General features: G+C 34.2%; 1 protein-coding gene across 4 annotated transcripts; it reads right to left on the bottom strand.

The window, feature by feature from the left end:
* Positions 1-702: 702 nt before the first annotated feature.
* Positions 703-15459, bottom strand: ETAA1 (ETAA1 activator of ATR kinase). Of its 4 annotated transcripts, none has more exons than XM_017004376.2 (7): positions 15121-15459; positions 13495-13623; positions 13166-13242; positions 9818-9930; positions 8177-9567; positions 7457-8089; positions 703-2881 (listed from the first exon to the last, which is right to left on the bottom strand). In XM_017004376.2, the coding sequence occupies exons 1-7, from the start codon at positions 15341-15343 to the stop codon at positions 2754-2756; spliced, it is 2694 nt and encodes an 897-aa protein (XP_016859865.1). In that variant the 5' UTR covers positions 15344-15459; the 3' UTR covers positions 703-2753. The 4 variants fall into 4 exon arrangements, with proteins under 4 accessions (XP_016859865.1, XP_016859866.1, NP_061875.2 ...); XM_017004377.2 differs by having other exon boundaries at positions 7457-8108; positions 8196-9567; NM_019002.4 differs by having other exon boundaries at positions 7457-9567.
* Positions 15460-16285: the final 826 nt, after the last annotated feature.

The raw sequence follows: 16285 nt of genomic DNA, 5'->3' as shown, positions 1-16285 counted from the left end.
GTAACCACTGGCTATCAGTATCAGGTGGACAGAAATGAGTAAGGTGTCTCTGTTCTTGGTAACTTAAAAGCTGGTGATAATAGGGTAGTATATAAGGCAGTGTTTCCCATGGTAGGATACATGTCTGCATACCACTGTCTGCAGTAAGCAACCCCAATGTTCCTGGGGTCCGAGTCATCTGTCTATAACAGAAAAAGATGAATGAGAGATAAGCTCCGCTTTCAACAGGCTCTTTTTGGAAATAATGGCATTATTAGCATCAGTCTGAGATGCAGAAACAGCAGCGGAACTTTAGGGGGAAATTGCCAGGCTACCAGTTGTCCCTTCCCCAGATTCCCTATAGACTAGGAAAGAGAAAAGCCAGGCAAACTATATAGTCAGCCCTCTGCATGCTCATTTATGGGCCATTCACCCCCTAATGTTTCCAACAAGGGCTAAAGGAAGAGTCAGGATAGGAAAGGAGAGTGGTATGAACAGGAGCAGTGACCCTAAAAACCAGTCATGTGAGGTTCAGATGTACAGGGCCATTACACCTGCCACCACCCAGAAGTGCTATAAAAGTTTTTTTTTTTTTTTTTTTTTTAAAAAAAGGGAGTCACTTAGAGAAAACTATTACGTAAATAATACTATGAGCTGTATAAGAATTTGGCAGAATTACCAGAGACACAAAATGACAAATTATAAAATAAGATTTATACAACTAAACAACACATAAAGGCATTATAGTATTGCTCAATGAAAGACACAATAATTAGTACCATTATGATCAGAGAGAAGCAATCAATTCCAGTGAAGATGGTTAGGTACGAGGTTCAAACAGACTTATTAGGCTGAGTCTAAATGAATGAACAGAATAGGCTAAAAGTACTCTTAAAAAAGCAAGCAGTAAGCAGGGAGGAGCTTAAGCAAGGACAGAGATATCCAAAGCATAGTCAGAACACAGTGAAGCCACTTTTAGTAAAAGATTCTCAGCTCTTTATTTTTGTACATAGAAACTACTTGCATTTATCTAGGTTATTATATATTCCTGGAAAAATAATATAGGTTAGCTAAACTCCAGTACTCCACTGTAGATATGAAAATACCATTTTTGATGTACAGTCTCCAACTTAAAATGGTTGACTTACAATTTTTCAACTCTAACGTGATGCAAAAGTGATATGCGTCCAATAGAAACCATACTTTAAAGTTTGATTCTTTCCCAGGCTAGAGATATGTGGTACAACATTCTCACGATGCTGGGCATCAGCTCAACTGATACTCTACAGTGTGCCGTATTGCCAGATGATGTGCCCAACTCTAGGCTAATATAAGTGATTTGAGCATGTTTAAGGTAGGCTAAGCTAAGCTATGTTGTCTGGTAGATTAAGTGTAGTAAATGCATTTTTAACTTAAGGTATTTTCAACTCATGATGGGTTTATTGGGATGTAACTACACGGTAAGTTGAGGAGTATCTGTATAGCTATAGGGCAGTAACTACCATATTATCACAGCTTTGAGACACTTGATAGTGATAAATGCCACACCATGACAGGTGTTTCATATCTCTAACTTTCTCTAGATCTCCTAAAACCATTTAAGAGGAATAAAGCATCCTCCCTGCCTTACGCCCTCTAGTTGGACTTCTATTACTGGTTTAGCAAATTCCAAATAGGCAAAATGGCAAAAAAAGAAAAAAACAAAACAGTAATAGAGAAGAAAAGATGAGTCAACTAAGTAAATTAATTGAGGGGAAAATTACAGTTACAGAAAAACTGAAAAGAAAAAAGATTCTCATTTTTATATCCTGGAAAGACTAATTCTTTAAAGCAAAATAAGGAACAATGAGCATTATTATCAAACAGTCCTTATTGTGCTTTTAATTACATCTTTTGTTTTATACTAGAAAATAATACTCCCTCAAGTTATTTTATGTACTGATACTTTGAAACAAATAGTATAATTGTTTAGGTGTCCAAATAAATCATTCTAATTGTAGCACAGCATTAACTTGCCTATGACTTTGAAAACAGTATTACTTTTTCTCACCGATACAATAAGGAAGCTGGACCAGATGACATATGAAGTTTCTGCCAGTTCTAAATGTTAATGATGCCACATTACTTTTGTAGACAATCCACTACTTCTTTTCCTCTATGTTAGACTTCTAAAATCAAAGTTTTCCTAAATATGGTGGAAAGTTTCCAAAATGTGTCACATTTTAGAATTATTAAAATTCAAATCCACTTCTAAGAACTGAACATAATTTCCTTACAAATAAAAAGTCCTTTATTTCATATCAACCATGTTCCTAGAAATATGAAAGTATTAATTAAAATCTGGAAGTGTATAAAAACCTTAAGCAACAGTTAATGAAAGTAAAACTACAAAAACAGTCTCTACTAACTTAGAAAGTTGAAGTTTTTTATTAGGAAAAGACATTAGAATAGGAAATAACGTAGATTACCTCTTTTTTGATGATCCTCTGCAATAATAGCATTTAAAAATATAACTACTTTCCTCTGTATAATATCCGTACATAATTGCTAACTTTCCTGAATTTCCAAAACTTTTGTATTTAATGACTTTCAAATACATGTCCAAGGAAATGTTTCATTTACCATTGCAAACATTGATTTATTAAATAAAGTAGAAGTCCAGGCTTTATAAAAGTCAGCATTACATTTCTCACAGAGAAATCAAGAAAAAAAATTTCCTATCAATCACAGATAGTTATCAGCAGTCTTCGTGAAGTCTTCCAACTAATATTTCATTAAAGAAATGAAGTGGGAGCTGCATTTACAGATGAGGCTCGTGCTTTAGCCATTCTCCGAACCAGTGCTTCTTGTCTTTTTCTCTGAATTTCTTCAGGAGAACACTTTCTATTTTTCTCTTCTTCCTCTAAAAATTCAACAAAAGATGAGTTTTACTTTTATAGCCTATAAAGTCATTCAATATGTGCTTTAATTTTTGCTTTTTTTAATCACCCAGATTTGCCATATTAGTTGGCTATTAAATCAAACTAAACTACTGAATATAAAATTCTAAGTACATAATACAGATATAATGCTCCAGTTCAAAAGAAAATCAAGCACTGATGGATCTGTCTCTATTTGATACATTCTTTTCACAGTGTGATAAAATTCAGTTTGATAGAAAACTGACTACCCACCAAATAATTCTTGTGGACAATGACATCTAATTTATATGACCCACGAATAAATATATCTTTAAAAAGGATACATTGGGATTTAAAATGTTATGTAAACTTTAATTGGAAAATAGTCAAAATATAAGGAATTAAATTAGTTATCAATCTCAAACAGTGTATATTTACATAAGATGTTATATTAATATTCACATCTACTTTTCCCTATAGAGCTATAAAATTTTCATTTCATCCACTGAGGAAATATATTTTAGAGTGATAAAATGAAATCTGTCATGTCAAACTGGTTACCTGTGATTCACTGTCAGAAATTATATTTTTATTTGGAGGATGCATTTTGGAGAAACTTTAAAATAATCTCAATTAACTTAGTAAGTTGAGGCTTTGTATTAGAAATCACTTTCTCATTTAAATGATATTTTAAGTTTAAGACTATCACCCTAATACATATTTAAGTATATCATTTATTCTGACATTTAGAAAAAGATACACAATTTATGAGACATTTCTCTTGTTAACTAACAGAGGCATTTTCAAAATATATAATCTGCCTCCCTTTCCTTTCTTGGTATAATCAGAAATGGGAGGGGGTATTCAGGCTAAGAAATACATATTTTAAATAAGTTTCCCAGATGATTTTGATGGCTTTTATTTCCTAAGCTATTTACCTAACAGACTGTAGATATTTTTTCCTAAAGAGAGACACCAGAAGATACTTTCTAATTAGCTTGACTAATTATCTAATACTTTTAGTCTCAAAGCTGAGAAACACAACAAACTCAGACTACACATCCAAAGACTTTACACTGAATTTGACTGTGTGGAAAGAAAACAGGTTAATAATCTGTAACAGCAGAAAACATAACTTCCTAAAGTTGGTCTTACAATTTGCTTGGCAATATTATAGAAAATAATTTCAAATGATAATCAGGTCACACCATGAAAATTTGATTTAGGGACTCATCCATTTTTCCCATCAGTCTTTCCTTTAACTCAATCTATAATAAAAATACACAATGAAGTCTTAAAATATTGTAAAGTACTAAGCAAAAGCTGCTCTTCTTAATCTTGATCTTACAGTGCAAGGGTCAGTAATTTTTTTTTTTCCTGTAAAGAAAGAGTCAGAAAGCAAGAATGTTAACCTTTGAGTATCTTGTTGCAACTGCTCACCTGTACCACTGTAGCAAAAATAGTTATGGATAATGTATAAATAACTGATGAGCTGTATTCAAATAAAACCTGTTTATGGACAATGAAATCTGGATTTCATATAATTTTCAAATGTCATGAAATATTATTCTCCTTTTAATTTTTTTCCAACCATTTAAAATGTAAAAATCATTTTTAGTGTGCTGGCTATACATAAACAAGCTGCAGGCTGGATTTGGACAGATCATAGTTTGCCAACTCCTGCCTGAAATAAATGTGGGAGTTAAGTGAGTTTTGTTTCAGAGATACTTCCCTGGAGAGCAGCTTGCTACATACCAAAGTAAAAGGAAGTAGAAACAATAGAAAACATCAACAAAGTTAATAGTAATTAAGAGATTCAGTACTATCAATAAGTTTAAAGAAAATATTGATAAGGTAAGCTAAAACGCAGATTATCCATAAAAAATGCAGATAGATTGGTAGATAGGAGTTTTGGGAAAACTCAAATACTCCAGGAGGTTTAGTCTTTTATAGAATTATAACTATAGTTGACCCTTGAACAACATGGGCTTGAACTGGCAAGTCCACTCATTTGTAGGTTGTTTTCTGCATCTGACACCCCTGAGACAGCAAGACCAACTCCTACTCTTCTTCCTTCTCGGCCTACTAGACATGAAGATCATGAGGATGAAGACCTTTATGATGATCCACTTTCACTTAATGAATAGTAAATATTATTTTCTCTTCCTTATTTTCTTAATAACACTTTTCCAGCTTATTGTAAGAATACAGTATATAATACATATAAGAGCATACAAAATATGTATTAATTAATTATGTTATCGGAAAGGTTTCTGGTCAACAGCAGGCTATTAGCAGTTAAGTTTTTAGGGGATCAAAAGTTATACACAGACTTTCGACTGCAAATCAGATCAGCGCCTCTAACCCCCACACTGTTCAAGGGTCAACTCTATCTGTAAATAAAGTCATGCTAGGAACATGCTTGATTTAGTTACAATATGCTCACTTTAATACAAATTTAAATACTTAAAATTATTATAGATTGAGAACAATTTTTAATATTTCAAAATATCTAGTTTGGGCTATCATGTAAAGCAAGCTTGTCCAACCCGCAGCCCGCAAGCTACCCGCAGCCCAGGATGGCTTTGAATGCAGCCCAACACAAATTCATAAACTTTTTTACAACATTATGAGATTCTTTTGTGATTTTTTTTTTTTTTTTTTTTAGTTCATCAGCTGTTGTTAGTGTCAGTGTATCTTATGTGTGATCCAAGATAATTCTTCCAATGTGGCCCAGGGAAGCCAAAAGATTGGACACCCTTGGGTGTAGAGAATTATTTACTGTAAGTTTTGATAAGATAAATTGGTATAACTGCTTCGGATAGAAATTTGGTGGTATCCATCAAATTTTAAAACTTCCTCTTGTAGCAATTTTTTAGGAATTAACAGATACAATTATACAAGCATGCGGAAATTTATGCAGAAGGATATTTACTGGAGTATTGTTTGTAATTGCAAAAGACTGCAACCAACCCAAACTTCCATCACAGAGAAACAGTTAAATTATGATACATCCACCATATATATCACATAGTCATTAACAGGACTAAAATAAATTTATATGTACTAATAGGAAAAGACAGCTATAATATATTAAGGCAAAAGCAAGTTGCCAAATAGTGGGTATACAGATTTATTAATATTTAAATAGATCTATAGGTATATATATATGCATACACATATATACGTACATACACACACACATATCTTTTTATATTCATAGAAAATGCTACATCATACCAACTATTAATAGTGGTTTTCCGTAAGGGATGGTTATCAGAAAGGAGAAACAGAAGACTTAACTTTTTCCTTTAAATTATTCTATACTGTTTTACTTTTCTTTTTAAATAACTAGCATATTACTATTGTAAATTTTTAAAAAAAGTCACTTAGATAGGAAAGTTGGAACAGTAATGCCAACAAGACAGAGAAGAGTCACTAAATATTTAATTTCAACTTGTGATGAAAGCAATTAGGAAATAAAAAATAAACAAGGAGATCTATTTATAGACTCTTCAAGGAAGGCCTCTGTGAGAAAGTAGTACTTATACTGAGATGTAAGAAAGCACCAACAAAAGAGTGGGGAAGGGGTCACATGTTGAAAAGAAGTAGTTTTAGTCAAAGGGAAGAGCACGGTCTAAGTTCCTGGACAAGGAAGAAAAACATACACTGTTTGAAAAACTAAAAGATAGCTGGTATAGCTGAAGCTTAGTAGGTAAGGAAAAAAGAGGAGACGCAGGTTAAAGAGAGATAATCCACAGCTTTGTTGGTCACAGTATACAGTTTGGATTTTATTTGAAATATGACGGGCAGCCATTGAAGGTTGTTTTAAGCATAGAAACGCCATTTTTGCCCATCCAATTTTAAAAGGCTATTCCACTGTTTGGAGATAAGAATTGAAAGGAGATAGATAAAAGAACTGCAGTAGTCTCATCAAGAAATGTTAACTTGTTGTAGAAAGAAAAATGGAGTCTGGGGATACGGTTTTTGAAAGAATGAAACTTATTGATAGAATGGAGACTTGGGGAAAAGAGAAATTGGAAGAATCAGAAATGATAGCTGTTATCAAATAAGTAAATCATAATTTTAACCATCACCGCTAGCACGTTTATATCAAATATCACACTAGTAAAGACGTTTAATTAGAATGCTCTAAATTTCTAAATATTATTTACCTCACTGCTTCATCATCTGCTTCCCAGATTACTCAAGTTTTAAAACAATTTAGTAAATACAATCTTAATGAACACTATAATACATATATCTAAAGGTATGATTTTCCAAGAAAGAATAAGTTATTCAAAAAATATTTACTGAGTACCTACTATATGCCAGTCATTGTATTAAGTGCTGGGAAAGAATTCAATGTAATATTTTGAAAAATAAACCAACTACTCTGTATAATGCCGTATAATTATTTCCAAGTATCATTTTAAGAATTCTAGTTAATTCTTAAAATTAACTAGTCATAGAATAGTTTTACCTTATACATTACTCACACTCAAAAACAACAAATAATTATTTTACTACTTTTTAAGATGCTTTTCAAAGAAAACTATTTCATATTTCATACATACCTTTTGAAGATTGTTTCAAAGATTCAGAAAGTTTCACCAAAGATTGCTGTCCAACAGCTTCCTCCAGTAATGGGTTGACACCTTTCTTTTTCTCCACACCCTGTGTAATTTTGGTATCAGACATACTTCCAGTTATACAATTTTGATTAAACTGAGAAAGAATCTGAGAATTTTTCATCCTTGTAAATGTAAACTTTGAAAATCCAACTGTTGTGTTAAGGTTGCTCTGAGCTTCATCTGTTACAGTCTTATGGCATGGCTGATTAGTACTCAATTTCTTCTTATAAGTAGTAATTTCTGTATTCATATGATCTGAAGTTACATTCAAACTTGAACTTCCTGGAAGAACCAATTTGGAACTATTCACTTGTATTGGAACATCAGTGTTAGTATAAGACACATGCAGATTATTTATCTGACAGTTTGAGATCTTAGAATACATAGTCAAATTTGTGGCACCTAAAAATCTTGGAGAATTTCCATACATTTCCCCTTTCTCCATCTTCATTGGCTTATCTATTTGTGAGCTATTTGTCAAAGATGTCTGCACTGAAATGCTGCCTGGATTCAAATGCTTTGATTGTACCAAATTACTTCCTTGTTTAGATATAGCAAACATGTTTTTGGCTCCATGTTCGGAATTATTATTGATCTCACATATACTTTCTGATGTCTTACTGTCCTTTCTAATGTCTTGTTGCTGAGTTAGTTTGGCTCCATGTTCGGAATTATTATTGATCTCACATATACTTTCTGATGTCTTACTGTCCTTTCTAATGTCTTGTTGCTGAGTTAGTCTTTCAATATCATCACATGCTTGGTACAACAAATCATCATCTACATCATCTGCTTCCCAGGTATTATCTAATTGATGACATGCTTTAATAATTTCATTGGCAAATGAGGGATCATTCCAATCATCAAAGAAAGAACCTACTTTTGATGCACTAGTCTGATTTGGGTTACTAACACTGGTTTTACTGCCTAGATTTGCAGAGCCAAAAAGATCAGTATTAACAGGGGCTTTAATAGACTGATTTAAAATGCACTTATTTTTCTGTTCATTAGAATACCTTGTGTTCAAAGCTGACTTCCTTTCAGAAGCTTCAGTAGAGTTAGTAAGAATATCTTCCTTTATTTTTGTCAGATTAGATGTAACTATACAATTTTGAATTTCGTCTTGAATAACAATTTTATTGGAAGAGTTCTCAAATTTCATTTTATTTCCAGTGGATAATTTGTTTGATTTATTTGAATTTGGTGAAAATCTATATTCTGCATCTATTAATTCTCTGTCATATGTCTTTGAAGAAAGATCTTGTAATACTTTTGAATCTCCTAACCTGGCATCTGGACTTGTATTTGCTCTTGACGTATTTTTAACAGTTTTACTATTAAAGGTACAAATTTCCTTTTGATCAGTAACATGGGCTGTTTTAGAAGGAAAGAGTTCAGGCATGTCGATATTTTGCATAGCAAAAGGTTCACTACCTAGTAAGTTTTCCCAATCATCCTCAAAATCACTTGTAGTAAATGCATCAATGTACTTATTAGAAGTTTCTGGCTCCTTAGTACAGGAAGTCACACATGATTTTGTCATTATGGGTGTATCTACTTGAGAAGAAAGTGATCGTGGGGTTTTATTTGACAGTTTTTCAATGACCAGAGTTTCATTAGTAATGATTTTCTCCTCTTTCAAAGCATTTGTCTTTACAAAGGTAGTATTACTGGTGCTCCAAAAAGCCTCTGGCAGTTCTTGGCTTAACTGTCCGCTACATTTCTGAGTAGAACCATCAAAAATAGCATTAAAGGCTGCTTCAGCAATTTGGTCAAATGGCTTCTGACTGCTATTTTGATTATTTGCCACAGATATCTTGGTGTTTCCTTTGATTGGCTTTTTTGTAGCATTATCTATTTCGGGAACTATATTATGTAATGACCACATCTGTATATTATCTTTATAATTACTTAAAATCTCTGTTTCTGAAATCATCTGGGTAAAATCATAATTCCTCTTGTTTTGCTCTTGAATCACATCTAGCTCTTCCATATTTTTATCAAATTGTTTAGCCAGTTTCATAAGTTCTTCTTCTTGACTTTGTGTTTTTAACCTATTAAACAAGATTAAAAAATAACTAAAAATGTTCTGAAACATTATATCCAACTGTTATTTAACATATTTTGATGTTAAAGCTCTAAGATTTTAACAGTTATAATTATTTTAACTCCAAAATTTGATAGATCAAAACTGTGGAAATTTTATTAACAAAAATTTTGATATATTCACAAAACCAAAATGGAGTATTATCAAAAAATATTTGCTTCACTGAATTTCAGAAAAGCTGAAAAGTCTTAACTTACTTTGTGCAGCTGATTTTTGCTCTTGATTTTCCTTTTGCTACACTGGGAGTACAAGGAATAGCAGTTTCACCAATCCACATGTCCAGCATAGAATTTGTTGTTGGTTTTTCATCCTTTGGCAGATAGGGAAAAAAAGAGGTATAAAGTACCAGTGTAGCATCCCCCGTCTTCCAAAAAAACAAAAGAAAGAAAAAAGACAATAAAAACTAATGATTTTGAATTAATTTCCTAAATTCTGGTGAGGTAACACTTACCAAACTCAAAAACAATAGGAAGTTGGGAGATAGCAATAATAAGCTACAATAATTGATCCACTTATGTTTCAGAGAATGAAAACATTCAGAATTACAAATTGCTTATTTTAAAAAAATATTGTTTTAAGAATTAAATTTATCAAATGTACATTTAATAACAGAAGCATGTTTTTATCAAAAGAAAATTGACATTTTAATTGTCCTAAGATACTTATAAAAACATTAGTGTCAGAAACTGTGTGGCAGAAATCATCAGAATTGAGAGGAGATACATATGGAATTCTTTCTGTATCATCTGTTTCTCCAAATTTTCTTTATCCTTATTATAATCTTTATCTAAAGTTGGACAATCCATGTTGACCTAAATTAAGAACACTCAGAATTAAGATCAGGAATGAATTAAGAGATAAGAGCAAGGTTAGAACTGATGCTAAGAATGAGACAGGAATAAGAATAAAAAAATAGAGAAAACAGAAAAGTTTAGCCCAGATAATATACAGAAAAAAGGCATTTTAGACCTGGATACTTTTGCTGTACCTTTCAGTCACTTGATCACACAAAAAAATTACAGAATGAGCTTTAGGCATTAATTGCAAACCAAACCAACAAATCAAATCAAGTAACCATTTTCACTCTATTTTATAGTACCTAGAATGAACATAAATATCACACAATTTAAAAAATAATTTTACTACTAGATTATAGGCTACTCAAAGGCAAGGACTCTTCTTAGAATAACTCAGCATCCAGCACAATATTGGGCATACCAGTGTCAGTATACATTTATTTACTAGAAGATTTAGGTGAAAAGATCCCTACAGTTTGGTACTTCAAATCCTCAATGAATCAAAAAAGTTTTCTTAATGTCAACTTGAACCTAGTTGCCTTTAGCTTTGCAAATACTCAAGAAAATCAGTAATTTCACTTTCAGACTCAATATATTTTCCCTTTTATTTCAACAATCTTGAATTTAAAGACAATCATAGTCTTAATTATGAACTCTGCCATTTACAAAAGTAATTTTAAATTCATTCAATTTTCAGAGAACTAAATTATGACTTTATGTACCCAACTTTACATATACATGGGTCCTATGTATGTTTGTATACTATTTATACATGTTATTACATATTTCTTCATGAATAATTACATAATTTATTGATTTTCAACCATAATCCAGGTGCTGTATAAGGTATCTAAATGCATTACTTCATTTCATTATAAAAAGTATACTGTGCAAAGCTGTATAAATGAAGATACATACCATCTTCAAATAAACAACATTGTATAAAAGTATCCCTGCAAAAAGTGAACTGACTGTCCAACCAAAATAAAAGCGCATATTTAAAAAAATGCTATCTCTGAAAATGTTAAAACTAAATGATTTGAGAATGACTCACCTAAAAATAAACAATATAAGTATTTGTCATTCTGAGAACATGACAAGCTTTCAAACAGACCTTGAAACTGCTAAAGATTTATATGCTTTAAAAGTACTCAGTTTAAGAGGGTAACATTTTAAAGCTACTAATTTCACTATATTTTTTTCTTTTATACAAGTTACCACTTGCGTACTGTTGTCATTTCTTTATATGAGCTATTATTTCTAGCCCACTTAGGTAAAGAGTCCAATAATTTATTCACAACTATCTTTTTATCACTATTTAGACTGGCCCACCCAAACACATTTTATTATGCTTCTTTCATGTGAAACCCACAATTAATGAAGATCTATTGTTAACTTATAGAGTAAGTACTATTATGGCATAAATGCTATTTAACTAATTAACTGTAAGTAAAATGAATTTCTATGACATGCTAAAAATGGAATGTAGAGCTAGTAGCAACAGAGTTGTTTTGACTGTGCTAGGTGTAATTTTGGATATTTTATAGCTGCTAAGAAAAACTTCATTTTCTGTCTCTTCCACCTGGGTGACAGTAATTCTTCAAACCATGTTTTGGGCCAGTGCCATCTATTGTTTATGGTCAACATATAGTAACTATTCAAGCGCAGGTTAAGGAAAAATGGCATACTTCCTTCAGAGAAGACACTAAGCAAAAATGTTCTCTGGATTTAAATGTTAAATAAGAAAAAGAGAACAAAAAGTAAAGAAGTTCAGAACAGTTTCACGTATTGAGCCTTTGCTTCTTAGTAATTATAATATTAGAGTTACTGGATTGCTTTGTGTCAAATGATTGACTTGAACATATTTCTATTTCACTCAAACAATAAAAGAACAGAAATGAAAAAAAGAAACGAAACACTCAAAAAAAAATTTTTTTTAAGAGACAGGGTCTTAAACTCCTGGCCTCAAGCAATCTTCCTGCCTCAGCCTTCCTCCCAAAATGCTGAGATTACAGGAATGAGTCACCATGCCTGTCCAAGAAAAGAAAAAAAAGCTTTGGAGATGGTTCTATTACAGTAACAACCTTAACGTAACCTTACAATTATAGCACTCTATAGTTTACAAAGAATTTTTATCTAGTTTAATTCTCATAATGATCCAATGAAGACAGCAAGAGCAACACAATAATTCTAGTTCATGGCTGAATGAACTGAAGTGGTGGGAGTTTAAATAACTTGCACTGGGTCACACAGCATAGGAGGTTGAATGAGGACTAAATTTGAATTCAGTGCTCTCCACTTTTGTAAGTGTTTCTTGATAATCTTATAAGGAAATGAGTATTAATAGTTTCAATGGGGAAATGTTACAGACAGGAAGTACCAATCACAAAACAATCATAGAAGTATAAACTTTTTTCACTGCCTTATTCTATTATTTTAGCAACTTGAAAAATGATGTCGTATGTTGTTAAGCACAACATTACAGATAAACACAATGCCCTAGTCAAAAATTACTCTAAAAAATTAAAACAAGATATATACTTAAGAAAATATCTTGTATTTTATATTATATTCCTTTTTTCAAAATATGTATTTCAAAAGTAGAAAAGGCAAAACAGTAATCTTTGCTGCCTTATTTTTGGAAAAAAGAATTATAATAGACAATACTTTTCATTTAAAGAAACTACAAAAACTTAGTGGCACATTCTTCACTGTTTTAAAACAAACTGTAAAACTAGTGATATTTACCTGAGGAGCAATACGATTAACAATATGTGAAATCTCATCACTATCTGTGGTGTAAATCTGTTTTTTTCTTCCTTTACCTAAAGAAACAAAGACATTTCTATAAATTTTAAACAAAAAACCCTCCATTTTAAAAAACAGCTGTCACTTCTTAGAAAGTAATTTTATTTAGTGCAGCTTAGAGGATTATGTGTTTACATCACATACTTATACAGATAAAATCATATAACATTCTCAGAGGTTCCCGATGCTATTATCTGACTAGAATTCTAGTTAAATCTGAATCATTTATCAAATATTTACTCACATAAAAAATGTTAATAATTAATTACCTAACTGCTTTGTCAATGGAGAATTCTGATCCCAAAAGATATCATTCTGTCCATCTGGATCATTAGGAGAACTGAAGGAAGATGACAGTGAGTCCATTTTCAGCGCTCTCTTTGGTGTTTCATACCTTTCTATATAAAATATGAGTAAAATAACAATTGTTGCATTTTAAAGCATTACCTTACTTCGTAAGACCCCAAGGTCAAATAGCTGAGACTAACTTTTATAGTCCAAGATAATTTTTTTTCCCAGAGATAATTACCTGAACCGTAACAGAAATGCTTGTTTCACATAAAAATCCACGCGGCACTTCGCAAACTTCACATTGTAAATAGCAAACACTTCTAGATAATCCAGAAGCTTTATGAATGCATAATACAATACTGTATAACCTAAGTCATTCTATTTATTACCATTGAGTCTTGGAGGCTTTGGGGAACCATCTGTAATTTATAGGTACATTCAAAAATCCAAAGTAACCCAACAGAAACCTAAATATGTTTAGCCCCCTTTCACCAACTCTATCTAATCTACATTAATTGCCATTCTTCAAAAACCATTAGTGATCCAATGCTTGGGAATTTTTGTCTAGAATCACTTTCAAATTTTTATAAAGATTTTTGTTCATTCCCAAATTGCTTTATAGGAGTATTATTAAAGACATGTAAGGTGGCCGGGCGCGGTGGCTGTAATCCCAGCACTTTGGGAGGCCGAGGCGGGTGGATCACGAGGTCAGGAAATCGAGACCATCCTGGCTAACACGGTGAAACCCCTGTCTCTACCAAAAATACAAAAAATTAGCCGGGCGAGGTGGCACACGCCTGTAGTCCCAGCTACTTGGGAGGCTGAGGCAGGAGAATCGCTTGAACCCGGGAGGCGGAGGTTGCAGTGAGCCGAGATTGTGCTACTGCACTGCAGCCTGGGCGACAGGGCGAGATTCTTTCCCAAAAGAAAAAAGACACGTAAGGTATAAAAAAAAAAAAAAAAAAAAAAGCACTATTTCAAGAACATGCTCCAGAATAAAGGCTTTTGTATGAGTTTCAGTTCCAACTAAGATTTACTAGAAGTCTTTTAAAAAGTAACACCTAAAACTAATCGAGACGAAAGAGATCCTTAGTATCTTATTTGGAGGGATGTTACACACAGGAACTTCCGGTTTATTCACAATGAGGTGAGACATCTACCAGGCTTTGAGACAAACTTTAACTTTTCCTATGAACTCTTCTCTAAAGCAGGTCACAGGGAAAAAAAGGGTTTAAAGAGAAATAACTTCTCCGGGCAAAAACTGAGGTTAGCGGGCCTATCAGCTGTTTCTTCTCACTCCACCACTGCTGCTGACTGGAGGAGCAGCCTGGAAAGCAGCCGCCCTCCCGCAAACAGGTAAACCACATTACCTATTCCTGTGGCGGAGGCAAATGGATGGTCAAACCTAACGGGGTAGTGCTGAAGTTCGGGGACAAAAGCCCATCGGGGAGTGGTATAGGATTATTTTTGGACTCTCGAGGGGTGAATCCCAGAGACAGAATACACGCTCCAGACTCCACCCCCACCCCAGATTTCCCTGTTGCAAGCTGGGATGTGGGGATGCGGCGCCGAAGCCAAGGCAGGCCGCGCTGCCGACGTCTCACCCTCGGGGTTACTTTTACTGCACAGGGCGGCGGTCGGAGGCTGCTCTCGCTGCCGCACTGGCCCGGGAGGCCCCTCTCTAGCCCCGCAGGGCCACGAACCGCGGGCCGATCTCAGCCGCCTCCTCCCTGGCTCGACCACCGAGCCGCATTCCTCCGCCGCCACTGTTTTGTGCGGCGTTTTCTTCGGGCTAGGGCTGTCATCATGTTTCCTTCGCCGACTCATTGCCTATGGCCCGCCTCCACCAGCCGCTTCTTCTTTCACATTTTGCAAAGGGATGAGTAGGGCAACAGCACTACAAACCGCACCCCGCACCAACGGCAGCCGCCATTTTGGTCGGTGGGGCGCGCGCAAGAGGCGGCCGCTGATTGGCTGGGTCCGGGAGAGGGGCGGAACTGTTAAGGTGCCGAGGGCGCGCGCACTTCCGCAGCCGGGACAGGAGCCTGCTCTGGAGGAGTGTCTAGGCTCAAAATCCTCCAGACTGGTGGGGGTTGTTCGGGTAGTAGTCAGGTCCGCGTAAACTGAGAGTGGGAGCTTGTGAGTTGGAAAGATTGAATACACTAGCAACTTTTTATTGAATTTACAACGAAAATTGCACGTTAGTCAAATTCAGATTATTGAGAGTCTTCGAATTTCTCAAGAAGAGGAAATACAGTTAATTTTTCATAGATGCTATGTGCATAGAAAAATCCAAAAGAAAGTAGAAAAAATTACTAAATTAATTTAAGAGTTGCTGGATACAAAGTCAATATTCAAAGATCAATGTGTTTCAATAGATTAGCAACAGATATAAAATTGAAGTTTTAAAGAGATACTATTTATAATAGTGCATGAGATAGCAAGTAACTAGGAATAAGTTAAAGATTGTCCTTCCTACAAAGAGAACTATAAAACATTTTTGAGGCCGGGCGCCATGGCTCAAGCCTGTAATCTCAGCACTTTGGGAGGCCGAGGCAGGCGGATCACGAGGTCAGGAGTTCAAGACCAGCCTGACCAGCATGGTGAAACCCCGTCTCTACTAAAAATACAAAAAATTAGCCGGGCATGGTGGTGCGTGCCTGTAGTCCCGGCTACTGGGGAGGCCAAGGCAGGAGAATTGCTTGAACCTGGGAGGCGGAGGTTGCAATGAGCCGAGATTGCGCCACTGCACTTGCAGTGAGCAGAGAT

The sequence above is a fragment of the Homo sapiens genome, chromosome 2 (genome assembly GCF_000001405.40).
Source record: "Homo sapiens chromosome 2, GRCh38.p14 Primary Assembly".
NCBI lineage: Eukaryota > Metazoa > Chordata > Mammalia > Primates > Hominidae > Homo > Homo sapiens.
The sequence above is the reverse complement of the archived record's forward strand: the minus strand, read 5'-3'. Positions and strand labels throughout refer to the sequence as shown.

Bases quoted from the DNA above. Each gene is read 5' to 3' on its own strand.
- ETAA1 (NM_019002.4), bottom strand. From the start codon at position 15,343: ATGAGTCGGCGAAGGAAACATGATGACAGCCCTAGCCCGAAGAAAACG. The intron at 13,243-13,494 runs GTAATTAATTAT...TTGTTTCTTTAG, and splicing joins TCCATTGACAAAGCAGTTAG to GTAAAGGAAGAAAAAAACAG. The intron at 9,931-13,165 runs GTAAATATCACT...TATCTGCCAAAG, and splicing joins TTAATCGTATTGCTCCTCAG to GATGAAAAACCAACAACAAA.